Source organism: Homo sapiens, chromosome 10 (assembly GCF_000001405.40).
Source record: "Homo sapiens chromosome 10, GRCh38.p14 Primary Assembly".
Classification (NCBI taxonomy): Eukaryota; Metazoa; Chordata; class Mammalia; order Primates; family Hominidae; genus Homo; species Homo sapiens.
This window is the reverse complement of record NC_000010.11, coordinates 38115792-38139217: the sequence shown is the minus strand read 5'-3', so window position 1 is coordinate 38139217 and position 23426 is coordinate 38115792. Positions and strand designations below refer to the sequence as shown.

Sequence of the window (23426 nt, the reverse complement as noted above, 5' to 3'; positions counted from 1 at the left end):
TTCTGAAAGTCTGTCCTCAGAACTCAATGGAAACCTCTAAGACTAGCTGAAAGTGTTAAGATGCAAAGGGGAGAGAGTGACACAGGAAATAAGGTCCCAGTTGTTCACAAGACAGGTCAAGAACACTGGCATCAATTTATAAAACACGGTATTTGTAATGAACTCATGCACTCCAAACCTGCCTGTAGCTCTTCCTCTGCAGATAGGCTACAGCTCTAAAATGATGCTATAAAAAAGAACACCTGCAGGGACAGAATGTTAAGTTAGATATTCAAAATGAACCAGAGGATGTGTCTTTAGGAGGACCTTTATGGATATTTAGTCTGACTCCCTGATTCTTTAGTTGGGTTAAGTAGGCCCAAAGAGAAGAGTAATAAGGCACTTGGTAAGTAGCTGGGCTGTGGTGTAACTGAACTTTGCAAATTTAATGACAAGACTCTAAAATTCTAGGGCTCATCATTTTCCATTCTGGGAAATTTGAATTTCAGACTCAATGCTGTTTGTTCTCAGGGGATTGGCTTTAAGACAACGGGTTCCTGGTGAGCATGTGCTGCTAATAAATTAAGAACTGACAGTCCTTGTTTACTTTGCTTACATTCTCACACCCCATTTGTCATTTTAGACCTCACTAAGTATTCTAACCTTAGTCCAATATAAGTTTTAAACATATATGTATGCATATACATATGTAAAGCTTGTTTCATAAGTTTCCCGATTTTCTAGGGGCTTTATTACAAAAACATATTCCATGAAGTACATAGCTCAGGCAGTCAATGACATTTCCTTTCTAAATCTCACTTTGTTAACTCATGCTTTTAGCTGCATTTATACCACCAAACACTGCAATAAAAGGTAAATTTAAAGTTTTTCAAACTGAAATCTATACTTAGTGTTTGTGATGACACTCTGCAAAAATTTGAAGTCAGTTGAGCTGACTGTCCCCAGAAGGCACTCATTGCTTTAATAGTGAATGCCACAAGCCTAGGTGAAGTTCTCTCTACAAGAGCTTTCATACACTTACAATTATTTCACACTCTAGAACAATTACTAATGGCAAAGCAAGGCAATTATAGTCACTCTGCAAAGTGGGACCACAGTGCTGCATAGACATTTAATTGACTAGGATGTTAGTGTAATTTTCTGATTAATCAAAATGTCTGGATTACAAAGAGTTATTTATTTCAGGATGCCAATATAATGAGTCATACACATTTTAAATTTAACAAAAGAGGAACAAATTAGGACTTCCAATACAGGAAAACTAACATGCTTCAAAGAGTAATTATGCTTCACTATTAAAACTGATCCTTAGGAGAATGAAGTCAAGACAAATGGCAAAGTACAAAATACCAAAAATCCATCTCTATCTGCACAATTATATTGGAAGAAATTGGCTGAGGCAAACATTTTAAACCTCCGTAGTTTATTTTGAACACTTGCAGCTTCCAGGGGACAGCTTGGCTGGTACATTATGGTAATCTTTGCTTTATTTAAGCCACGAGCAGGGTTGCAACTACCATCCCCCAACCACAGTCTCTATAGTCTCATGTCATGTGGCATTGGGGTCCATAACCCACATTCAAGGGTGAAAGGTCTTGCTGGAGCCAGGGTAGACAATAAAGACCTGGCCTTCCAAACACCAGGGCTCTGTGTTCTAATTATGGAGTGCTTCTCTGATAAATGTGGTGTGGGCATGTAGGCTGGTCACCAGTTATCCAACCTCCATAAACTGAAGTAGCCACCAAGGGATTCAAAAGGGATACACCTGTTTTTGGAGACTAAAAAGTAATTGCATATGTGAGAGAATTTAGAAAGCCAACATACCTGCCTAGGGAAAGACAAAGGCCCAGTAATGACCTGAATAAGACCTTAAGTTTTTACCTCAGGCTGATCTCCAATAAGGAACACCATAAAACATTTTTTAAAGCCCAACAAGCCCTGGAGGAAGAGGGAATATCTGCTTTCCAGTTTCTGCATTATAAGGTTCAGAGTCCAGTCAACAACAAAAACAACAAAGAAGGCATAAAAAAGGGGAAAGTATAATCCACTTAAAGGAGCCAAATAAATCAAAACCCAAGGAAGCCTGGATGAGTATGTCAGACTTACTGCTAGAAAAAGACTTTTAAACAACTGTCCTAAATGTATTCAAAGAGCTAAGGAAGACATGGACGAAACAGGAAAATGATGTCTGAAAAAATGTTTATTCAAAAAAGGATATAAAATTATAAAAGCCAAGAAATTCTAGAAATGAAAAGTACAATAACTGAAAATACTCTAGAGGGGTTTAAGAGCAGATTTAAGCAAGCCAAAAAATAAATAAATACACTTGAAGAAAGAACCATTGAAATTACTGACTCTGAGGAAAAGAAAGGAAAAAAGTGATAAAAACTGAAGAGAGCCTAGGGAATATGTGAGATACCATCAAACAAACAAACATATGTAGCATGAGAATCCCAGTAGGAGAAGACAGACTGGGGCAAAAAGAATATTTGAATAAATAATGCCTAAAAACTTCCCAAATTTTATGCAAAAAGATGAATCTACAAGTCAAAGATGCTCAACAAACCCCAAACAGGATAAACTCAATAATACTCATACTATGATACATTATAATCAAAATATTAAAAGACAGAGAATATTGAAAGCAACAAAAGTGAAGTGACTCATCGCATACAACAAACCATCAGTGATATTATCAGCCAATTCCTCATGAGAAACCTTAGAGGCCAGAAGTTAGTGTCTGAATATATTTAAAATGCTTTGAGGCTGGGTATGGTGGCTCACACCTGTAATCCCAGCACTTTGGGAGGCCGAGGTGGGTGGATCGCCTGAAGTCAGGTGTTAGAGACCAGTGTGGCCAACATGGTGAAACCATGAAACCCTGTTCCTACTAAAAATGCAAAAAAATTAGCCAGGCGTGGTGGCAGGTGCCTATAATCCCAGCTACTCCAGAGGCTGAGGAAGGCAAATCTGTTGAATCCAGGAGGCAGAGGTTGCAGTGAGCAAAGATGGCACCATTGCACTCCAGGCTGGGTGACAAAGAGTGAAACTCCATCTCAAAAAGAAAAAAATGCTTTGAAAAATTTTTACTTGATGATTTTATATTCAGAAAAACTATTTTACCTCATGAATGAGATATAAATGAAGACACTCTCAAAAAAAGTTTTTAAAGCTAAAGGGGTTCATTTTTCCATAGACCTGCCCTGCAATATATGCTAAAGAGATTCCTTCAGGTTAAAATGAAAGAAAGTTAGACAGTAACTGAAGCCTCTGATATGGTTTGGCTGTGTCTCCACCCAAATCTCATCTTGAATTGTAATCCCCATGATCCCCATGTGTTGTGAGAGGGACTGGTGGGAGGTAATTGAATCATGAGGGTGGTTTTCCCCATGCTGTTCTTGTGAGAGTGATTTCTCACAAGATTTGATGGTTTTATAAACTTCTAACATTTCCCCTGCTGGATGTCATTCTCTCCCCTGCCGCCTGTGAGGAGGTGCCTTCTGTCATGATTTTAAGTTTTCTGAGGCCTCCTCAGCCATGCAGAACTGTTGAGTCAATTAAACCTCTTTTCTTTTTAAATACCCAGTGTCAGATACTTCCTTAATAGCAATTTGAGAACAGACTAATACATGGACAATTATAAAGAATAATTTTGTTTTCTGATTTTGGTTTGTAATCTAACTTTCTATTTTCTATAGAATTTAAAAGACAAATGTGTAAAAATAATTAGTAATCTATATTATTAAGCACACAATGAATAAAGATGCAGTCTGTAGCATTAACAACAGAAAGTAGGATGAAATTGTAGAAAAACAGTTTTGTTTTGTTTTTTTGAGACGGAGTCTCACTCTGTCACCAGGCTGAAGTGCAAGTGGCATGATCTCAGCTCACTGCAACCTCCGCCTCCCAGTTTCAGGCGATTCTCCTGCCTCAGCCTCCTGAGTAGCTGGGACTACAGGTGTGCACCACCACGCCTAGTTAATTTTTGTATTTTTAGTAGAGACGGGGTTTCACAATGTTGGCCAAGATGGTCTCAATCTCTTGATCTCATGATCCACCTGCCTTGGCCTCCCAAAGTGCTGGGATTATAGGCATGAGCCACTGCACCCAGCCAAGAAACAGTTTTTGTATGCTATTTAAGTGGTATCCATTCAAATTATATTGTTATAACTTTAGGATGCTAGATGTAATCCCTATAGTAACTACCAAGTAGATATCTAAAGAATATACGTATAAGTAAGTGAGATAAGAATCAAAAGTTTCATAACAAAAAATTATGTAAAAAGGCAGTAATGAAGGAAGTAAGGAACAAAAACTTATAACGCATATCAAAAACAAGCAACAGGAACAAAAGGCAGTGGAAACTTCTGCAGACTTAAAAATGTCCCTGTCTGACAGCTTCGAAGACAGTAGTGGTCCTCCCAGCACAGAGTTTGAGATCTGAGAATGGTCAGACTGCCTCCTCAAGTGGGTCCCTGACCCCTGAGTGGCCTAACTGGGAGGCACCTCCCAGTAGGGGCCGACTGACACCTCATACGGCCAGGTGCCCCTCTTAGACAAAGCTTCCAGAGGAAGGATCAGGCAATAACATTTGCCATTCTGTAATATTTGCTATTCTGCAGCCTCCGCTGGTGATACCCAGGCAAACAGAGTCTGGAGTGGACCTCCAGCAAACTCCAACAGACCTGCAGCTGAGGGTCCTGACTGTTAGAAGGAAAACTAGCAAACAGAAAGGACATCCACACCAAAACGCCATCTGTATGTCACCATCATCAAAGACCAAAGGTAGATAAAACCACAAAGATGGGGAGAAACCAGAGCAGAAAAGGTAAAAATTCTAAAAATTAGAGAACCTCTTCTCCTTCAAAGGAACACAGCTCCTCGCCAGCAACAGAACAAAGCTGGACAGAGAATGACTTTGATGAGTTGAGAGAAGAAGGCTTCAGACGATCGGTAATAACAAACTTCTCTGAGCTAAAGGAGGATGTTCGAGCCCATTGCAAAGAAGCTAAAAACTTTGAAAGAAGATTGGACGAATGGCTAACTAGAATAAACAGCAAAGAGAAGACCTTAAATGATCTGATGGAGCTGAAAACCATGGCACGAGAACTATGTGATGCATGCACAAGCTTCAGTAGCCAATTCGATCAAGTGGAAGAAAGGGTATCAGTGATTGAAGATCAAATGATTGAAATGAAGCAAGAAGAGAAGTTTAGGGAAAAAAGAGTAAAAACAAATGAACAAAGCCTCCAAGAAATACGGGACTATGTGAAAAGACCAAATCTACGTCTGATTGGTGTACCTAGTTCAACCATTGTGGAAGATAGTGTGGCAATTCCTCAAGGATCTGGAACTAGAAATACCATTTGACCCAACCATCCCATTACTGGGTATATACCCAAAGGACTATAAATCATGCTGCTATAAAAACACACGCACATGTATGTTTATTGCGGCACTATTCACAATAGCAAAGACTTGGAACCAACCCAAATATCCATCAATGATAGACTGGGTTAAGAAAATGTGGCACATATACACCATGGAGTATATGCAGCCATAAAAAAGGATGAGTTCATGTCCTTTGTAGGGACATGGATGAAAGTGGAAACCATCATTCTGAGCAAACTATCACAAGGACAGAAAACCAAACACTGCATGTTCTCACTTATAGGTGGGAATTGAACAATGAGAACACTTGGACACAGGGTGGGGAACATCACACATTGGGGCCTGTCATGGGGTGGGGGGAGGGGGGATGGATAGCATTAGGAGATATACCTAGTGTATATGATGAGTCAATGGGTGCAGCACACCAACATGGCACATGTATACATATGTAACAAACCTGCATGTTGTGCACATGTACCCTAGAACTTAAAGTATAATTTAAAAATAAAAAACAAGCAACAAAGTGGCAAAATTAAGCCCTGTGTTACCAGTAATTACTTTAAATCTGAACAGATTAACAATTCCAATCAAAGAACAATAGGCAGAATTAATTTTTAAAAAACATGATGCAACAATTTCAATACAAAATCTACAGGAGACTTTCTGTATGTCTAAAGACAAATATAACTTGCAAGTAAAAGGATAGTAAAATATATTACATGCAAATAGTAACCAAAATAAATCTGAGTGGCTATAATAATATTAAAACAAAATAAACTTTAAATCTTAAAGTTTAAAAGAGATAAAGGAGACTATATCACTAAGAGAGTCAATAGAGCAATTAAAGTTATAAGCATTTATGCACCTAATGACAAACCCTCAAAATATATGACATAAAATTGACAGAATGGAAGGGAGAAATAAACAATTCTATGATAATAGCTGGTGACTTCAGTGCTCTACTTAAAGTCACAAATAGATCAATCATATAGATGAAAAGTTAAAAAAAAAAAAGACTTGAACAATACAGTAAACCAACTACAGATGCACATTGAGTTACCATGGGGTTACATCTCCATAAAGAAAGTTGAAAATACAAGTTGAAAATGAGTTTGATATACCTGATCTACAAAACATCATGGCTTATCTGGCCCATATAAACATGGTCAGAACACTTACATTAACCTACAGCAGGGCAAGATCATCTACCACAAAGCCTATTTTATAATAAAGTGTTGACTATCTTACTTTATTTATTAAATATTGTACTGAAACTCAAAATTCTTACAATTATAGATGCAAAAATTTTAAACAAAATACTAGTAAATTGAATTCAATAGTCCGTTAAAAGAATTATTCATTATGAGTGAATAGCATTTATCCCAGCAATGCAAGGGTGGTTCAATACAAATATATCAACTAATGCAATACATATTATTAATAGAAGAAAGGGGGAAAAACCTATACATGATCGTTTCAGTTGATACAGAAAAGGCATTTGAAAAATTCCAACACTATTTCATGATAGACTTTCAGAAAACTAGGAATAAAGGAATAATTCCTCTACATGACCAAGGGTATTTATGAAAGACCCATGGCTAACACCATAATCAGTGGTGAAAAACTAAAAAGATTTCCCACTAAGAACAAGGCAAGGATACTCCTTTTTATGCTGCTATTTAACAGGAGGTTCTAGCCAGAGCTATTAGATAGGAAAAATAAAAACATCCAAAATAGAAAGAAAGAGGTAAAAATATCTCTATTTGCAGATGACATGAACCTATATGTAGAATATTCCAAAGAATCCAAAGAAAACCACCAGAGCTAATAAACAAATTCAGCAAGATTATGGGTACAAGATGAGCAATTTTGTTTGCTATACCATTGACGAAAAATCCAAAAAGAAAATTAGGAAGTGACTCCATTTACAATAGCACCTAAAAAGAATTAAATACTTTGCAATAAATTTATTTAAGGAGGTTAAAAACTTATATACTAAAAATGATAAAATGCTGCTGAAAGAAATTAAAGAAGAAACGAATAAATGGACAGACATCCCTGTTTGTGTATAGGAAGACTTAACACTGTGAAGATGCCAATACTACCCAAAGAGAGCTACAAAATTCAACAGAAAAGGAAAAGCTAATTTTCAAATTCATATAAAATTACAGAGGGCACCAAATAGCAAAAACAATCTTCAGAAAGATGAATAAATTTGGGGTACTCCTACTTCCTGACTTTGAAACCTACCACAAAGCTACAATAATTAAAACACTGTGGTACTAATAAATCAATGCAATGGAGATCCCAGAAGTAAAGCTTCAAATATATGGTGAATTGTTTTTGACAAAGATGCAGAGGCCATTCAATAGAAAAATGATAGTCTTCAAAAAACAGTGCCGGGAAAACTGGAGATCTGCTTGCAAAACAATGAAGTTGGACCCTTACAACACATGCAAAAATTAATACAAAATAGATTTATGATCTAAAGGCAAGACCTAAAACTATAAAGCTCTCAGAAGAAAGCACTGGAGAAAATCCTCATGACATTGGATTTGGGAACATGATACCAAAAACACAGACAACAGAATGAAAAAATTGGTCAATTGGACTTGATCAAAATTAAGAACTTTTTTGCATCGAAGAATACTATCAAGAAAGCAAAGCAACAACCTACTGAATATGATAAAATAATTGCCAACCATATGTCTGACAGGATAGTAATATCCAAAATATATAAAGAACATGAATAACGCCACCACAATCAAAGAGATAACCTAATTAAAAGCAAGCAAAGGACTTGAAAATTCTTTGACATTACTCAAAGAATATACACAAATGACAAACAAGCACTTGAAAAGATGCTTAACATCAGTAGTCATTAGAGAAGTGCAAATATCAATCACAATTAGATACCCCTTTCTACTTAGTAAGATGTGTATGCTAACGAAAAATGGAAAATAACATGAAGTGACAAGAAAGTGGTGAAGTCAGAACACTTGTGCATTGCTTATGGGAATGTAAAATGGTGCAGCTGCTGTTGAAAATAGCGTGGTGGGCTAGGCATGATGCCTCACACCTGTAATCTCAGCACTTTGGGAGGGCGAGACAGGTGGATCACTTGAGGACAGGAATTCGAGAACAGCCTAGCTAACATGGTGAAACCCAGTCTGTACTTCGAAAAAAAAAAATGCAAAACTTAGCTGGGCATGGTGGTGCACCCCTGTAATCCCAGCTACCTGGGGGGCTGAGGCAGGAGAATCACTTAAACTCTGAAGGCAGAGGTTGCAGTAAGCTGAGATCGTGCCACTGCACTCCAGCCTGGGTGACAGAGCAAGACTCTGTCTCAAAAAAAAAGAAAGAAAAGAAAATAGTGTGGTGTTTTCTCAGAAGTTTAAACATAAAAGTGCCATGTAACCCAGCAATTCTGCTGTAAGGTGTACATCCAAAAACCTGAAAATAGAGATCTGAACAGACATATGTACATCACTGTACACAGGCACATCATTCGCAATAGCCAAAAGGTACAAATCACCCATGTGCCCATGAACAGATGAATGGGTAAACAAATCATGGTATGAACATGCAAAGGAACATTATTCAGCCATAAAAATTAATGTTTTAAATATAGCTAAACATGGATGGGCCATGAAAATGTTATGCTTAGAGAAATAATCCAGACATAGAGCGACACATATCTCATGATTCTCCCTACATGCCGTACCTGGAATAGGGAAATCCATAAGGACAGAAAGTAGAATAGAAGTGACCAGGGACAGGGAGGAGAGAAGGAAAGATTATGGTTGAGTAGATCAAGTTTTTGTTGGGAAAGTGAAAAAATTTTAGGTATAGATAGTATTGATGGTTATATAACATTGTGAATGTATTTGATGCCATTGAATTGTACACTTACAAATAAATTAAATGATATTGTTTATGTGTATTTTACCAAAGTAAATCATCCTCACAATTTTGAAATCAGGATGGAACAAGTAAGAACACTGATTTTTAGAAACAAACAAAACCCAAAACTACAAACATATGTTAGTTGGGATAAGGGGTTTTTGGCAATAAATTTGAAGGCAAGTACTTAAATTGTACCTAAATATAGTGGAAAATGATAAACCTAATACATGAAATCTCTAATGGCAGTTTTATGAGATGCATAGAAACATGTTTTGAAGCTACAGTTCTTTTTTTAAGTGAAAGCAAGTTTATTGAGAAAGTAAAGGAAAAAGAATGGCTACTCCATAGGCAGAGTAGCCAAGTTATAGTTTTTTAACACAGAAACAGAAAACTAAATGCCTCATGTTCTCACTTATAAGTGAAAGCTAAACATTGAGTACACATGGACACAAAGAAGGGAACAGCAGACACCAGGGACTACTCAAGGTGGAGGGTGGCCATCTGTACACCAAGCCCTGCAACACACAATTTACCTATAAAACAAATGTGCACATATACCCCTGAACCTAAAATAAAAGTTAAAAATAAAAAATAATAGTTTTTTTTTTTTTTTTTTAGACAGAGTCTTGCTCTGTCACCCAGGCTGGAGTTCTGAAGTTCTTAAGATCACTATGCCTCCTCTTATTTTGACTTTTTACCAGCCAAAAAATATAACCAAATATGCCTAATTATAACTCTAGAAAATTGAACAATGCAATGTAGGGAAGGAAAAATCCACTATCTAGAAAGCTACAATGTAAGTTGAGTTTCTACACTGTTATGGATGAGTTACTGAGTGCTCACAGAAACATTATGTAAAGAATTTCATTGGCCAGATGCGGTGGCTCACGCTTGTAACCCCAGCACTTTGGGAGGCCGAGGTGGGCAGATCACGAGGTCAGGAGTTCGAGACCAGCCTGGCCAACAGAGTGAAATCCCATCTCTACTAAAAATACAAAAATTAGCTGGGCATGGTGGCAGGCGCCTGTAATCCCAGCTACTCAGGAGGCTGAGGCAGGAGAATCGCTTGAACCCGGGAGGGGGAGATTGCAGTGAGCCAAGATCATGCCACTGCACTCCAGCCTGGGCGATAAAGCTAGACTCTGTCTCAAAAAAGAACTTCATTGAATGAGAGTAGAACACTTCATGCCCACTGGACGTGAACTCAGGATGGAAGAGGCACTTATGCAATTTACTGTCTCTGACTCAGATTCCAGAATGTCATGGTGTACATCATGTAATGTAAATCTTTAGAAAGAAGAAAACATGATTGGAAGAAATATGGAAAAAAATGACTTTTTAAATTTTAGTTCCTGATCCAAAATTTTCAATGGTGTCTCATTATCGAAAAGATAAAACTCAAACTTTTTAACAGGGAACCATTTGTGACAGAAAGTATAATATTCTCAATCACTCCTAGTAAGTACTAGGACTGAGTACTCAAATCTTCCTAGATTGAGATTGCTTCTATTGAGTATACATCTCTGCCATGATTATGCTCAGATGTGTGCAATTACTTAATTTCTCCCACTGCATTTGATTGTGATATGGCTATTTTTGCTTAACACCATAACCCCAGGGCCCGACATAAATTAATGAATTAGTTAAGCCTGTTAAGTCCTCTGTGCATCCTTCCTCCTATTATATTAACCCCCTCCTCACCCCTAGACTTTTATTGCTCAGTGCATATTAAAATCTTCTGATTAGGTTCTAAAACACAATTACATCCCACACTTTAGTGCAGATATCTTTCCATGTTCTTCAGTTTGTTTCCAACAGCAAATTTCTAGATTCTCCACATAGATCTTACATTTTTTCCCCACTCATTAACCAAACTGCATGACTCACAGCCCCAAACATCCCCTAACTATTACATTAGATAACCACCCTCTCTCAGTTTCAACTGCCTATGTGTTTCTCTGCCCACTAGAATTATACCAAGTATTAAAATCAGCGTAAATTGTCACTTTTTTCAGGTAACTTTCTTATTCTTGTTCTACCTGAAAATGCAGTTCTTTCATTCTGCTTCCTTGGCACTACGACCACACCTCTTTTGTGGCATGCATTATATTGAGTTTGTTATACTTCTGCAAATACTTACTTCAGCTCAAATTCTGTTGAAGTCACGAATTCGGCTAGTATTTACCTCTGTGTCAATGGCATCCTGCTGAAAGTAGATGCAGGCTTGGTATGTTAGAGAAGCTGAGGAAAGGGGTCCTGAAATGAGTGGAGAACCAGAGACAGATGTAGGAGGAAGTGGGAGAGCCTCTAACCCAGGTGTTCTACTAACAAACTGGCCCCTTGCAACTACTCATCATATACCAGTAGTGCACTTAGAGAAATTCACCACCTGAATGAGCTGTGTAACACTAGGAAAGCACATCTTTAGTTGGAACATTACTGGTTTCATTTAAAGCCAAGTATCACACACATTATATACATCCTTTGTTTACTATTTTTCATTTCTAACACTTGTATATTAGTATTAAAGAGAGAAATACAATTTGAGTGCTTGTCATCAGTGAAGAAAGTGGTTAGCGTAAGTGAAAAGATGAAAAGAGCAGACATTCTGAGGGTCCTCGCTCTAGACCTTACTGATTTTTAAAGGATTCTGGGGCTTGAGTGTCTCAAACTAGTCCAGAAAAAGCCAGCGGCAAGCTCCATACAACTACAAATCTCACTAGGTACATCTCCCATTCCATGAACATGGGAGGAGGTGAACATATCAGCCTTTCCCAGTTTCTCATCTTACATTTTTTGGGGGTCAATCCAATACCATCATATGAATTATTTGGTAACTGGAATATCTGAGCAAAAATGTTTACTTTTTGCACTTGAAAACACGAAAAGATATGGACATAGAGTGCATCTTTATTAGAGAATACTGAAAGTCCCTACAAGTCCAAGTTTTTAAATCCTCAGTTGACTGTTTGGCAGAATAGCTCATTATTAGGTAGAGCTCTTTTCTAGGGCCCAAACTACATGGCTTAGATACAATGCACAGAGAAATGGGCCAACCCCACCTTTCTAGCTCATTAGTTATTAGCAAAAAGCTTCGGCCTGGGGTGCAGTTATGGCTATAGTTGGCTTCACAAGTGTGCGAAGATTTCTGCTAGATGGAGGAGGAAAACGGTGATGATAGGGCTGCTGCATGTTGCTCTGGAGGCTTCTCACTGCACAGTGAACTGCCCGATCACAGCAGCCCTAGACAAAACTGGATAACATAGTTCTTAATGGTTTCTTCCTCATTGGCCATCCCCTGATCTGAGTGGCTGTGAGGCAAGTTTTTATAAGGCAAAGATATTAGCTCAGAGGATCAAGTAGAACAAATGTGTTGTTTGGCCTAGGTGTGGTTGCTCACTATACAGAAAGCCAGTCACTAAGACGAGTATTGCCAGGGAAGAGCTTTATTGTGGATGCTGTCAGTCTAACCGTCAAATCTGTCTCTCTCCCAACTAAAGTTAGGAGTTTATATAGACAGGAATTAAGGGGAGTAAGGAAGATGATCAACAGGCAGCAGGTGGTTAGATGAGAGGTCTAGCATCTCATTGTAACCACCTGTGGGAAAACAGGAATGAGAGAGAAGGAAGAGGAGTTAGTCAACTGCCAACAGGTCTCATTGTCCAGTTGTGGTTCTCTGTAAAGTTTCAGGTCCGTAAAACTATGTGAGAGTCCTAACGATTGGTTTATTGAGAAAGAAACTCAGATGACAAATGTTAAATTTCTCAACCTTTAAGACTGGGAGGTCAATCCTATACTTTGGATATTTTTGCCTGCCTAAATCTGATGTTGAATGTAATTCCCAGTGCTGGAGGTAAGTCCTGGTGGGAGGTGATCATGGGGATGGAACCCTCATATGGCTTAGTGCTGTCTTCCTGATACTGAATTCTCCCAAGATCTGGTCATCTAAAAGTATGTGGCACTTGCCCCAACTCCCTCTCTCTTGCTCCTGTTTTGCCTTCTGCTATGACCGAAAGCTGAGGCTTCAACCAGAAGCCAAGTAGATCCCAGCAACATGCTTCCTGTAAAGCCTGCAGAACCTGAACCAATTAAACCTCTTCCCTTTATAAGCTCTTTCCTTTATATTACCCAGTCTCAGGTATTTCTTTATAGCAATGCAAGAATGGTCTAACAGTCAATTTCTATGTTTATTCCCCAAAAAAGCCCCATAAACATCAATTGTATAGGAAAATTGAGCTGGTTTCAAGATCAGAAATTTGGCCCATATTAAGAATAGTGGAATTATTGTATTGTGCTCCTACTGAGTGGTGTTTTAAATTGACAGCTACACATTTTATTCTGTTCTGTGGAAAATTATGACCCATTGAGATTTTATGTTTACAATTATTACTTCTGTTCATTTTACCATCTCCTCTCCCTCCATGCAGTAGGGGCATGTTGCAAATCACAAACTCCAAAAAATTAAACACAGGACATTTAAAAAATTAGCATTGGTATTGAACACTCTCCCCCAAATCAGGATTATTTGCCATTCATATTTTTTCTGTAGTGAACTTTCCACACCATTCTTTCACCAATTTTCTTATTAGGATTTTTCTTCTATTCTTAACCAAAGCTGTTTTACAGGTATTTTTTTTAGTCCATTACTCGCCTTTCCATTTCCTTAACTGTGTGCTTTGAAGAACACAAGCTTTTGAATTTAACAAAATCTAATTTATCAAAGTTTAAAGTGAGTAAATCATTTGTATTATAATTAAGTGCATTAAATTTATTTTTGTATGTTCCATATTTTTATTGTCCTATATAGAAATCATCATCTAACTCAAACCTACAAAAATTTTCTCATGTTTTCTTCTACAAGTTTTAAGTTTGAGCTCTTATATTTAGATCTATGATGAGTAGAGGCTTTATATATGCTTTGGGGAGTCAAAGGTAACACCACTTTTTGAAGACATGTCTTTCCCCTTGGATTTCATTGGCATATTTTCTGAAAATCTCCCAAGCACCTCATGGTTTATGGCTGTGATTCTGGACTCATGTATCCATAATTGTTTTGAATGTCCACATAAATTTATAATCCACTTGTCAAATTTTAATTCAGGTGGCGTTTAATTAATAGAACAATTTGAGGAAAACTGACATCTCGAAAATAGTTTTCTTGCCTATTTTGGCCCTATTTCTGCCATACACATTTTGGAAAACTTTTTCCAGTACTAAGAATAAATATTGGGAGCTTTATTGAAATTGTATTAAATTTATAGAAACATTTAAAGGAAACTGATATTAACAATGGTCTTCCTAATCATTGAAATTTTACTTTATTTTTAATTTTTGTGGGTACATACTAGGTGTATATATCTATGGGGTACATGATATATTTTGATATAGGCATGCAATGTCTAATAATCACATCAGGGTAAATGGGGTATCCATAACCTCAAGCATTTATCCTTTGTGTTACAATTCAATTATACCTTTAAAATGCACAATTATTATTGACTGTAGTAACCTTGTGCTATCAAATACTAGGTCTTAGTCATTCTACATTTTGTGCCCGTTAACATTCCCCACTTCCCCCTCACCATGCCCTCACTGCCTTTCCCGCCTCTGGTAAACATCCTTCTACCCTCTATAAGTTCAGTTGTTTTCATCTTTAGCTCCAACAAATACGTCAGAACATGATGTCTGTCTTGCTGTGCCTGGCTTATTTCACTTAATGATCTCTAGTTCCATCTACAATGTTGCAAATGACAGGATCTCATTCTTTTTTATGGCTGAATAGTACTCCATTGTGTTTATGTACCATATTTTATTTATCCATTCATCTGCTGTTAGACACTTAGGTTGCTTCCAAATCTTGGCTATTGTGAGTAGTGCTACAGTAAACACGGTGCAGATATATCTTCAATATACTGATTTCCTGTCTTTGGGGTATATAACTACCAGTGGAATTGTGGGATTGTATGATAGCTCTATTTTTAGTTTTTGAGGTACCTCCAAATTGTTGTCCATAGTGGTTGTACTAATAACATTTCCACAGTGCACGAGGTTTCCCTTTTCTCCACATCCTCTTCAGCATTTGTTATTATCTGTCTTTTGGAGAGAAGACATTTTAACTGGGGTGAGATGATATCTTATTGTAGTTTTGATTTGCATTTCTCTAATGGATCAATGATGTTGAGTACCTTTTCATATGCCTGTTTGCCATTTGTATGTCTTCTTTTGAGAAACGTCTATTCAGATTTTTGCCCAGTTTTAAATCAGATTTTTTTTTCTATAGAATTGTTATAGCTCCTTATATATTCTGGTTGTGAACACCTTGTCAGATGTTGATACAGTTTGGATATTAGTCCCTGCCCAAATCTCACTTTGAGAGGTAATGCTCAGCGTTAAAGGTGGGTCTTGGTGGAAGGTGTTTTGATCAAGGGAGAGGATCCCTCATTAATTGATGCTGTCCTCACATCAAGGCCCATATTTCTGCCATATACGTTTTGGAAAACTTTTTCCAGTGTTAACAATAAATACTGGGAGTTTTATTGAAATATTAAATTTATAGAAACTGCTATTATTTTAATAACAAGTCTTTAAACATTGAAATTAACTTTATTTTTAAATTTTTGTGGGTACAAAGTAGGTGTATATGTTTATGGGGTACATGAGATATTTTAATACAGGTATGAAATGTGTATAAACACATCAGGGTAAATGGGTATCCATGACCTCAAGCACCCCTCACAAAATCTGAGTACTCACAAGATCTGGTTGTGTGGCACTTCCCTTCCCCCCTCTCTTTGCCCTGCACCTGCCATGTGAGATACTTATTCCCCTTTTGCCTTCCACCATGGTTGGAAACTTCCTGATGCCTCCCTACAAGCTGATCAGATGTTAGCACCATGCTTCCTGTACAGCCTGCAAAACCGTGAGCCAATTAAACCTCTTCTTTATAAATTACTCAGTCTCAAGTATTTCTTTGTAGTACTTCAAAAATGGCCTAATACAGATGGATAGTTTGCAAATATTATCTCACATTCTATGGGTTGTCTCTTCACTTTGTTATTTCCTTTGCAATGCAGAAGATTTTTAACTTGATGTGATCCCATTTGTCCACTTTTGCTTTGGTTGCCTGTTTGTCAGGTATTACACAAGAAATCTTTGCCCACTCCAATGTCCTGGAGAGATTCCCCGATGTTTTCTTTTAGCTGTTTCATAGTTTGAGGTCTTAGATTTAACTTTTTAATTAATTTTGATTTTTGTATATGCTAAGAGATGGGGGTCTAGTTTCATTCTTCTGCATATGGATATCCAGTTTTCCCAGCACCATTTATTAAAGACATTATCTTTTCCCCAGTGTATGTTCTTCATTCCTTTGTCAAAAGTGGTCACCATAGATGTATGAATTTGTTTCTGGGTTGTCTATACTGTTCCTATGTGTCTGTTGTTATGCCAGTATCATGCTGTTTTGGTTACTGTAGCTCTGTTGAATAATTGGAAGTCAGGTAATATGATTCCTCCAGTTTGATTCCTTTTGCTCAGGATAGCTGACTATTCTAAGTCTTTTGTGGTTCCCATATAAATTTTAGGATTGTGTTTTCTATTTCTTTGAAGAATGTTAAAGTTTTCTGGATGTTCCACAGTTTATCCATTAACCTGCTGAATGACATCTTTTTTTTTTTCTTTTTTCCTGAGATGGGGTCTCACTCTGTCTTCCAGGCTAGAGTACAGTGGCACGATCACAGCTCAGTGCAGCCTCAATCTCCCAGGCTCAAGCGATCCTCCCACGTCTCTGCCTCCTGAGTACCTCGGACTACAGGTGCATGCCACCATGCCTGGCTAATTTTTGTATTTTTTGTAGAGACAATTGTGCCATGTTGCCCAGGCTGGTCTCAAACTCCTGAGCTCAAGCAACCCACCCACCTTGACCTTCTAACATGCTAGAATTACAGACATGAGCCACTGAGACCAGCCAGAGTATTTTCTTACTGTCAGGTACATGAGATGATTCAGGCTCATCTTGTATTTCTCCCAATCTCTGACTAGGAATCATCCCTGTTCCCCTTTTTTGTGGATAGTATTTAGGAACTAATAACTTGGCAGTTGGTGTGCTTACTGTTACTGAGGTGTCATTGTGTTTAGGTCCTCTCAGTAGAATGAACACAAAATATATGCATATGTGCACACACAACAATTTATTTATTTGTTCCTATATATTTAAAAGATATGAGTTCTATTCTAATGCCACACTCCAGGTTTTCTAGCTCTCCTCATTCCTATTTTTATAAATACCTTCTCTAATGGAGAAATCTTGCTGTCATCATTCTCAACATATTTATTTGCTCAGTGTTACCAATCTCTCAACAATGCTGCCCATCTCCTCCCCCTGTCCCTTCCACACCTCACCCTCAGCCCTCTTGGTGCCAGCAGACACAAAGCCACAACTCCTCTCATCCCACGAGGCAAGTCTAACTCCTCCACTCTGGGGAAGGAAGGCAGGAGAGATACATGAAAAGTCAAAGGGGGGAATCAAAAGAAAGAGGAATGGAAGTCCACACTGATTTTTTTAAAATAATAAATCTTTTGATTGCCCTAATAAACATCTCTTGGTGATGATATAGTTTATGGATATGGCTAGATGTTTTTTTCAATTTTAGGATTTTGCATCTAAATCTATGAGACTTTGGTCTATAGCTTTATGGGTTTTTTTGTTGTTTTTTTTTTAGGTTTTGTTATCAAGGTTGTACTGGCCTCAAAAACTGAATTGGAAAAGTTCCATCTTTTTTCTTCTAGAAAAGTTTATAAAAGCCTGGTATTATTTCTTAAATATTTGGAATAACTTCAGTGAAGCCATCTGTTCCTAGAGTTTTCTTTCTAAGCAAGTTTTTGAATACTCCACTCAGGTATTGTTTGCAGTTGTGACAAGGCACAACCAATCTCTAGTATGACCTTGTTTCCAGGGCTTTTACTGATGGCATGTTCACCAACCCACTGGCACTTCCTAAGTTCTAATCATTTCTCCTTTGTACTGCAAAATGCAAAACAAAACAAAAATCCTACTTATTATCTTCTCAAATTAGCTTTTCAGGCTCCTGCCCTATGCAGCATGAGACATCTGGAAATTTCTTGAGAAATTATATGTGTTTGAAGCTCCTAATGTATCCATTTTTTTCATTGCAGTCTTGATTGTTCTTCTGGTTTCTGGTCCCCCCCATGCCTTCCCCTGACCCCCAGGTTATGGTCCTCTGCCTGAATCAAGTTCAGTATTCAGGTTCTTCCCTATAGCCAGAAGTGGAAAGGGCCCCCAGAGCTGCATTTTATGCTTGTGCTTTCTGAGATTTACCACTCTCTAGAATTTTGCCCTTTAGTCCTCTTTGCTTCTATAGCAATAAGTTGCATTTAAATATTTTCTGTAATTTTATAGTTATCCTCAATGGGTCCATTCTGCTGCCAACTACTATACCTTACCCAATAGCAAAGTATATTTTTGCTTTTTTTTTGTTTTTTGAATCTCTCTCTGTCACTCAGGCTGGAGTGCAGTGGCATGATCTCAGCTCACTGAAACCCCCACCTCCCAGGTTCAAGTGATCCTCCCACCTCAACCTCTCTAGTAGCCAGGACTACCGATGTGCACCACCATGCCCGGCTAATTTTTGTATTTTTAGTAGAGACAGGGTTTCATCATGTTGGCCAGGCTGGTCTGGAACTCCTGACCTCAGGTGATTTGCCCACCTCAGCCTCCCAAAGTACTGGGATTACAGGCATGAGCCACCATGTCCAGCCTATTTGTGCTTTTTGAAAGCTCCATATTTAAGTTATATCTACACATACATTTTAAAAAGTTGTATCACCTATGAAAGACATGTTTCAGTATGGAGAGAAATAGAGTTGGGTACAATAAGTCACTCACAGCAGAATGTCCTGGCTTATGTGTTAGACATCTGCAGGGCAGAAACCACCAGAAATCTGGACCCACTCTCTTCTACTAATCCTCATAAGTTGCATACAAGGCAAATTGACTTGCTGCTTTGATCCACCATTCTGAGATGGGTCGTCTGAATTTAGTCTGCCCTAGGATTATTCAAAAATCCTGCTGGTGGGCTCCTGTACTATGGCCCCTGATTGATGGTCTTTCTCTTTCTTCTGGACATACAAGAGCACTCTTGTTTGTGGGTCCCCTTGCTAAAAAATCTTCCCTTATTTTTCATATGGCTAAGCAATAAACCTTTGAACTACTTATAGCCATTGGCTTGAGTGGCGTCTTTAGAAGTCTCTTAGAAAATAGCAGTCTTGACAATGAACTAAACTAGATATTAACAAAGTAAAATGCTATTTCTCAATAAAAATATTTTTTCCACATTTTCTTAAATTGCTAGATATCCTGCAACTCAACACCTCTGTTCTATATTAAATTTAGATTTTAACTTAAAACATCCACACATTGGATACAGTTAAAAATACTTTCTCTACTATCTGATGTTCACTGAGAAGCTACTTCTTATTACATATACTCCATAAAATATAACCTCATAGTAAATGCTTTCCTATAGTTTCCTACAGTTTGTGCATTTTCTCTGGCCTCTTGACTTCACACAGAATGATTTTCCACATTCATTACACCCATAGGGTTTCTGTCTTATATGAGTTCTGTGGTGAACAATTAGAGCTGACTTCTGATGAAAGGTTTTCCCACATTCATTACACCCAAAAGGTTTCTCCAAGTGTGTCTTCTCAGGTATTCTGTGAAACTGTAGTAGTAGCAGAAAAATGCATCCCTTCTCAACCTAGGGATGCTGACCCAGGTTTCACCCCGTGTGAATTCTCTGATGTTTAATGAAGAGTGGCATTGGGCAAAATGTTTCCTATATTCATTCACCAATAAGTTTTTTCCACTTTTAGTTTTGTAACATAGTGTATGGTCCAAATTCCAGAATAATGTTTTCCTGCATTCCCTATCTTCATATTGTTTTTTCCCTCTTTAAGTTCTCTTCTATACTGTGAGAACTGACTTCAGGGCAAAGGTGTTCTCATTATCATTATATTAACAGATTTCTCTCACCCTTTATGTTCTGTGTTCTACAAAGTTCTGACTTCACCCAGAGTAATTTCCCTCGTTTACTACATTTATAGGGTTTCTCCCCAAGTGTATTCTCTGATGTACAGTTAGTTTTGACTTAACATAGAATGATTTTCCACAAACATTACATTCATAGGGTTTCTCCCCTGTGTGTGTTCTATGATGTGCAATGAGTTTTGACTTCACACAGAATGATTTTCCACATTGATTACATCCATAGGGTTTCTGTCTTATATGAGTTCTCTGGTGAACAATTAGGGCTGACTTCTGACGGAAGGTTTTCCCACATTCATTACATCCAAAAGGTTTCTCCCCTGTGTGTCTTCTCAGATGTTCTGTGAAACCGGAGTAGTAGCAGAAAAATTTTCCACACTGAATACATTCATAAGGTTTCTCACCTGTGTGAGTTCTTAGATGTTTAGTAAGGGTTGACTTCTCAGAGAATGACTTCCCACATTCATTACATTCATAAGGTTTTTCACCTGTGTGTATTCTTTGATGTTTAATGAGGTCTGATTTTCTGAGAAAGGCTTTCCCACATGCATAGCATTCATAGGGCTTCTCCCCTGTGTGTGTTTTCTGATGCACAGTAAGGACTGACTTAAATGAGAAGGTTTTCCCACATTCATGACATTCATATGGTTTCTCCCCTGTGTGCGTTCTTTGATGTTGAGTAAGGGTTGACTTTTCACTGAAGGATTTCCCACATTCATGACATCCATAAGGTCTCTCCCCTGTATGAATTCTTTGATGTTTAATGAGGTCTGAATTCTTATAGAAGGTCTTCCCACATTCATGACATTCATAGGGTTTTCCCCCTGTGTGTGTTCTCTGATGTCTTGTGTGGGCTGACTTCTGGGTGAAGGTTTTTCCACATTCATGACATTCATAAGGTTTTTCTCCTGTATGTGTTCTCTGTTGTAAATGAAGGACTAATTTTTCACTGAAAAATGTTCCACACTCATTATATTCAATAATATTGTTAATTGAGTGGGTTCTCTGAATTGGAGTGAGATTTAACTTCTGGCTGAATGGGTAAACACTCTGATGTTCAAGGAGAATGGATTCCTCAAAGATATTTTCTCCACATTCATTACCATAGTGGTTTTCTCTTGGATGTGTTTGCTGATGAGTGATGAAAAATGACATATCACAGGTTTTCCCATGTTCAGTATATTTGCAGGTTTTCTGTCCTGTGTAACCTCTCTTATGTACAAGGAAGAGTGAATTCTCAGGGAAAGCTTTCCCACATTCATTGTATTCAAAAGATTGTTCCCAATTTTTAATTTTCTGATGCCAAATGAGGTCTTCATTCAGCCAGAAGCTGTTCCCATTTTTATTATATTCAGAAGGTTCCTCTTCAGAATGAATTATTTCATGCTTTTCATCACAGAAACATTTTCCACCTTTGTTAAACTCATTGAACTTCATTATTGAATAGTTTCTACTGGTATTAATTAATTCTGAAATACAGAGTGAAAAGAAAGGTTAGTTGACGAGGATATGTAAGAGAAATAAACTTAGCATTATATTTGAAGGCATGGCTCAGTTTAGGCCATTATCTCCTCATACCTATGTTATGACAATGTGCACACTTCCAGTCTTATACCTCTTTTCAAGTCAACACAGCAGCAACAAATTAAATTTCTAAAAGTTCTAATTCATAGTCCTATAATCCAGGCTCCAATTCTGTGTGGTTTTGTTGTTCTTGGTTGTTGTTGGTGGTGGTGGTGGTGGTGTTTTTGAGACAGAGTCTTGCTCTGTCATCCAGGCTGGAGTGTAGTGACGTGATCTCGGCTCACTGCAATCTCCGCTTCCTGGGTTCAAGTGATTCCCATGCCTCAACCTCCCAAGTAGCTGGGACTACAGGCATACGCAACCATGCTTGGCTAGTTTTTATGTTTTTAGTAGAGACAGGATTTTGCCATGTTAGCCAGGCTGGTCTTGAACTCCTAGCCTCAAACAATTCATCCACACTGGCCTTCCAAAGTGCTGGGATTACAGGCATGAGCCACTGCACCTGGCTCAATTGTTTTTCTAGCTCTGATTCACTAGAAATAAAAGTATGCAACAATAAGAGTGAAATCAGTGAGTGAACAAGCCATCCTTGCCACAGGATCAGGTTTATGGTTCTATTCCAGCTGTGGGATTTGCCCTTTATTTCATCAACTGTCCTATACTATACTGAGTCCAATGTCCCAAGAACAAACACTTTTTTTTTAAACAAGGTATCACTGAAGTAAACATATCTTTACATTTAGATTCAGATTAGAACCAAGCCATTCTTTTACAAGTCTAGAGTGAATATATTTCGCTCTAGGTAAGTTCAGCTGTTTGTCCCTCATAAATTGCTCATTCCCATCATAATCTCATACTGATTGTTTTTCCATTGTCAGTTTGCAGTCTAACAGTGTTTTTAAAAAGTTTCCTTCCCAAATTTCCCAGGTTCATTTACTAAAAAACATGAAAGGACTGTTTTTATAATTCATTTAAGCACAAACATCAGCTGGATTGCTATAACAATATTCTTTGTTAAACACTGAATTTTAAAATATTTCATGCAGTTCTGTTTTTGTTCAACAACTATGTTCCTGGCAGCCATTACTTTACCTATGATTTTCTCTCAGTGCCCTATATAGATATTTAAATCAATGGTACTTAACAAATAATGTTTATCAGTATTATCCGGAGAGCTTTTTCAAACACAAATTTTTTCAGGCTTCACGCTGAAATCGTTACTGGTTGAATGTGTAATTTTAATTTTAATTGCTTTTTATTTTTTAGAGACAGAATCTTGCTCTGTCACCCAGGCTGCAGTGCAATGGCACAAACACAGTTAACTGCAGCCTCTTCCCAGGCTAAAGCAAGACTGTCACCTCAGCTCCCCAGTAGCTGAGATCACAAAAATTAGCCAGGCATGGGACCACAGGTGTGTGCCACCATGCCTGGCTAATTTTTTAAGTTTTCATAGAGATGGGGTCTTCTTATTTTGCCCAGGCTGGTCTCAAATTCCTGGGCTGAAGTGATCCTCCCACCTCAGCCTCCCAAAGACCTAGGATTA

The 23426-nt window shown here is 37.8% G+C and overlaps 1 protein-coding gene across 21 annotated transcripts in view; it reads right to left on the bottom strand.

Annotated features, from left to right (window-relative positions):
• Positions 1 to 23426, bottom strand: part of ZNF37A (zinc finger protein 37A) — a 55957-nt gene that overhangs the window by 11076 nt on the left and 21455 nt on the right. For 16 of the 21 annotated variants that reach the window (NM_001324259.3, NM_001007094.4, NM_001324246.3 and 13 more), the window contains one exon: positions 14593 to 21828. The exons of 3 other annotated variants lie outside the window; for them this stretch is intronic. In NM_001324259.3, coding sequence (NP_001311188.1) covers positions 21823 to 21828 — 6 coding nt within the window. In that variant the 3' untranslated portion in view covers positions 14593 to 21822. Of the gene's footprint in view, positions 1 to 14592; positions 21829 to 21937; positions 22134 to 22316; positions 22417 to 23426 lie in introns of those variants that run through there. 2 more of the 21 variants (XM_005252586.5, XM_017016624.1) reach the window with 2 other exon arrangements.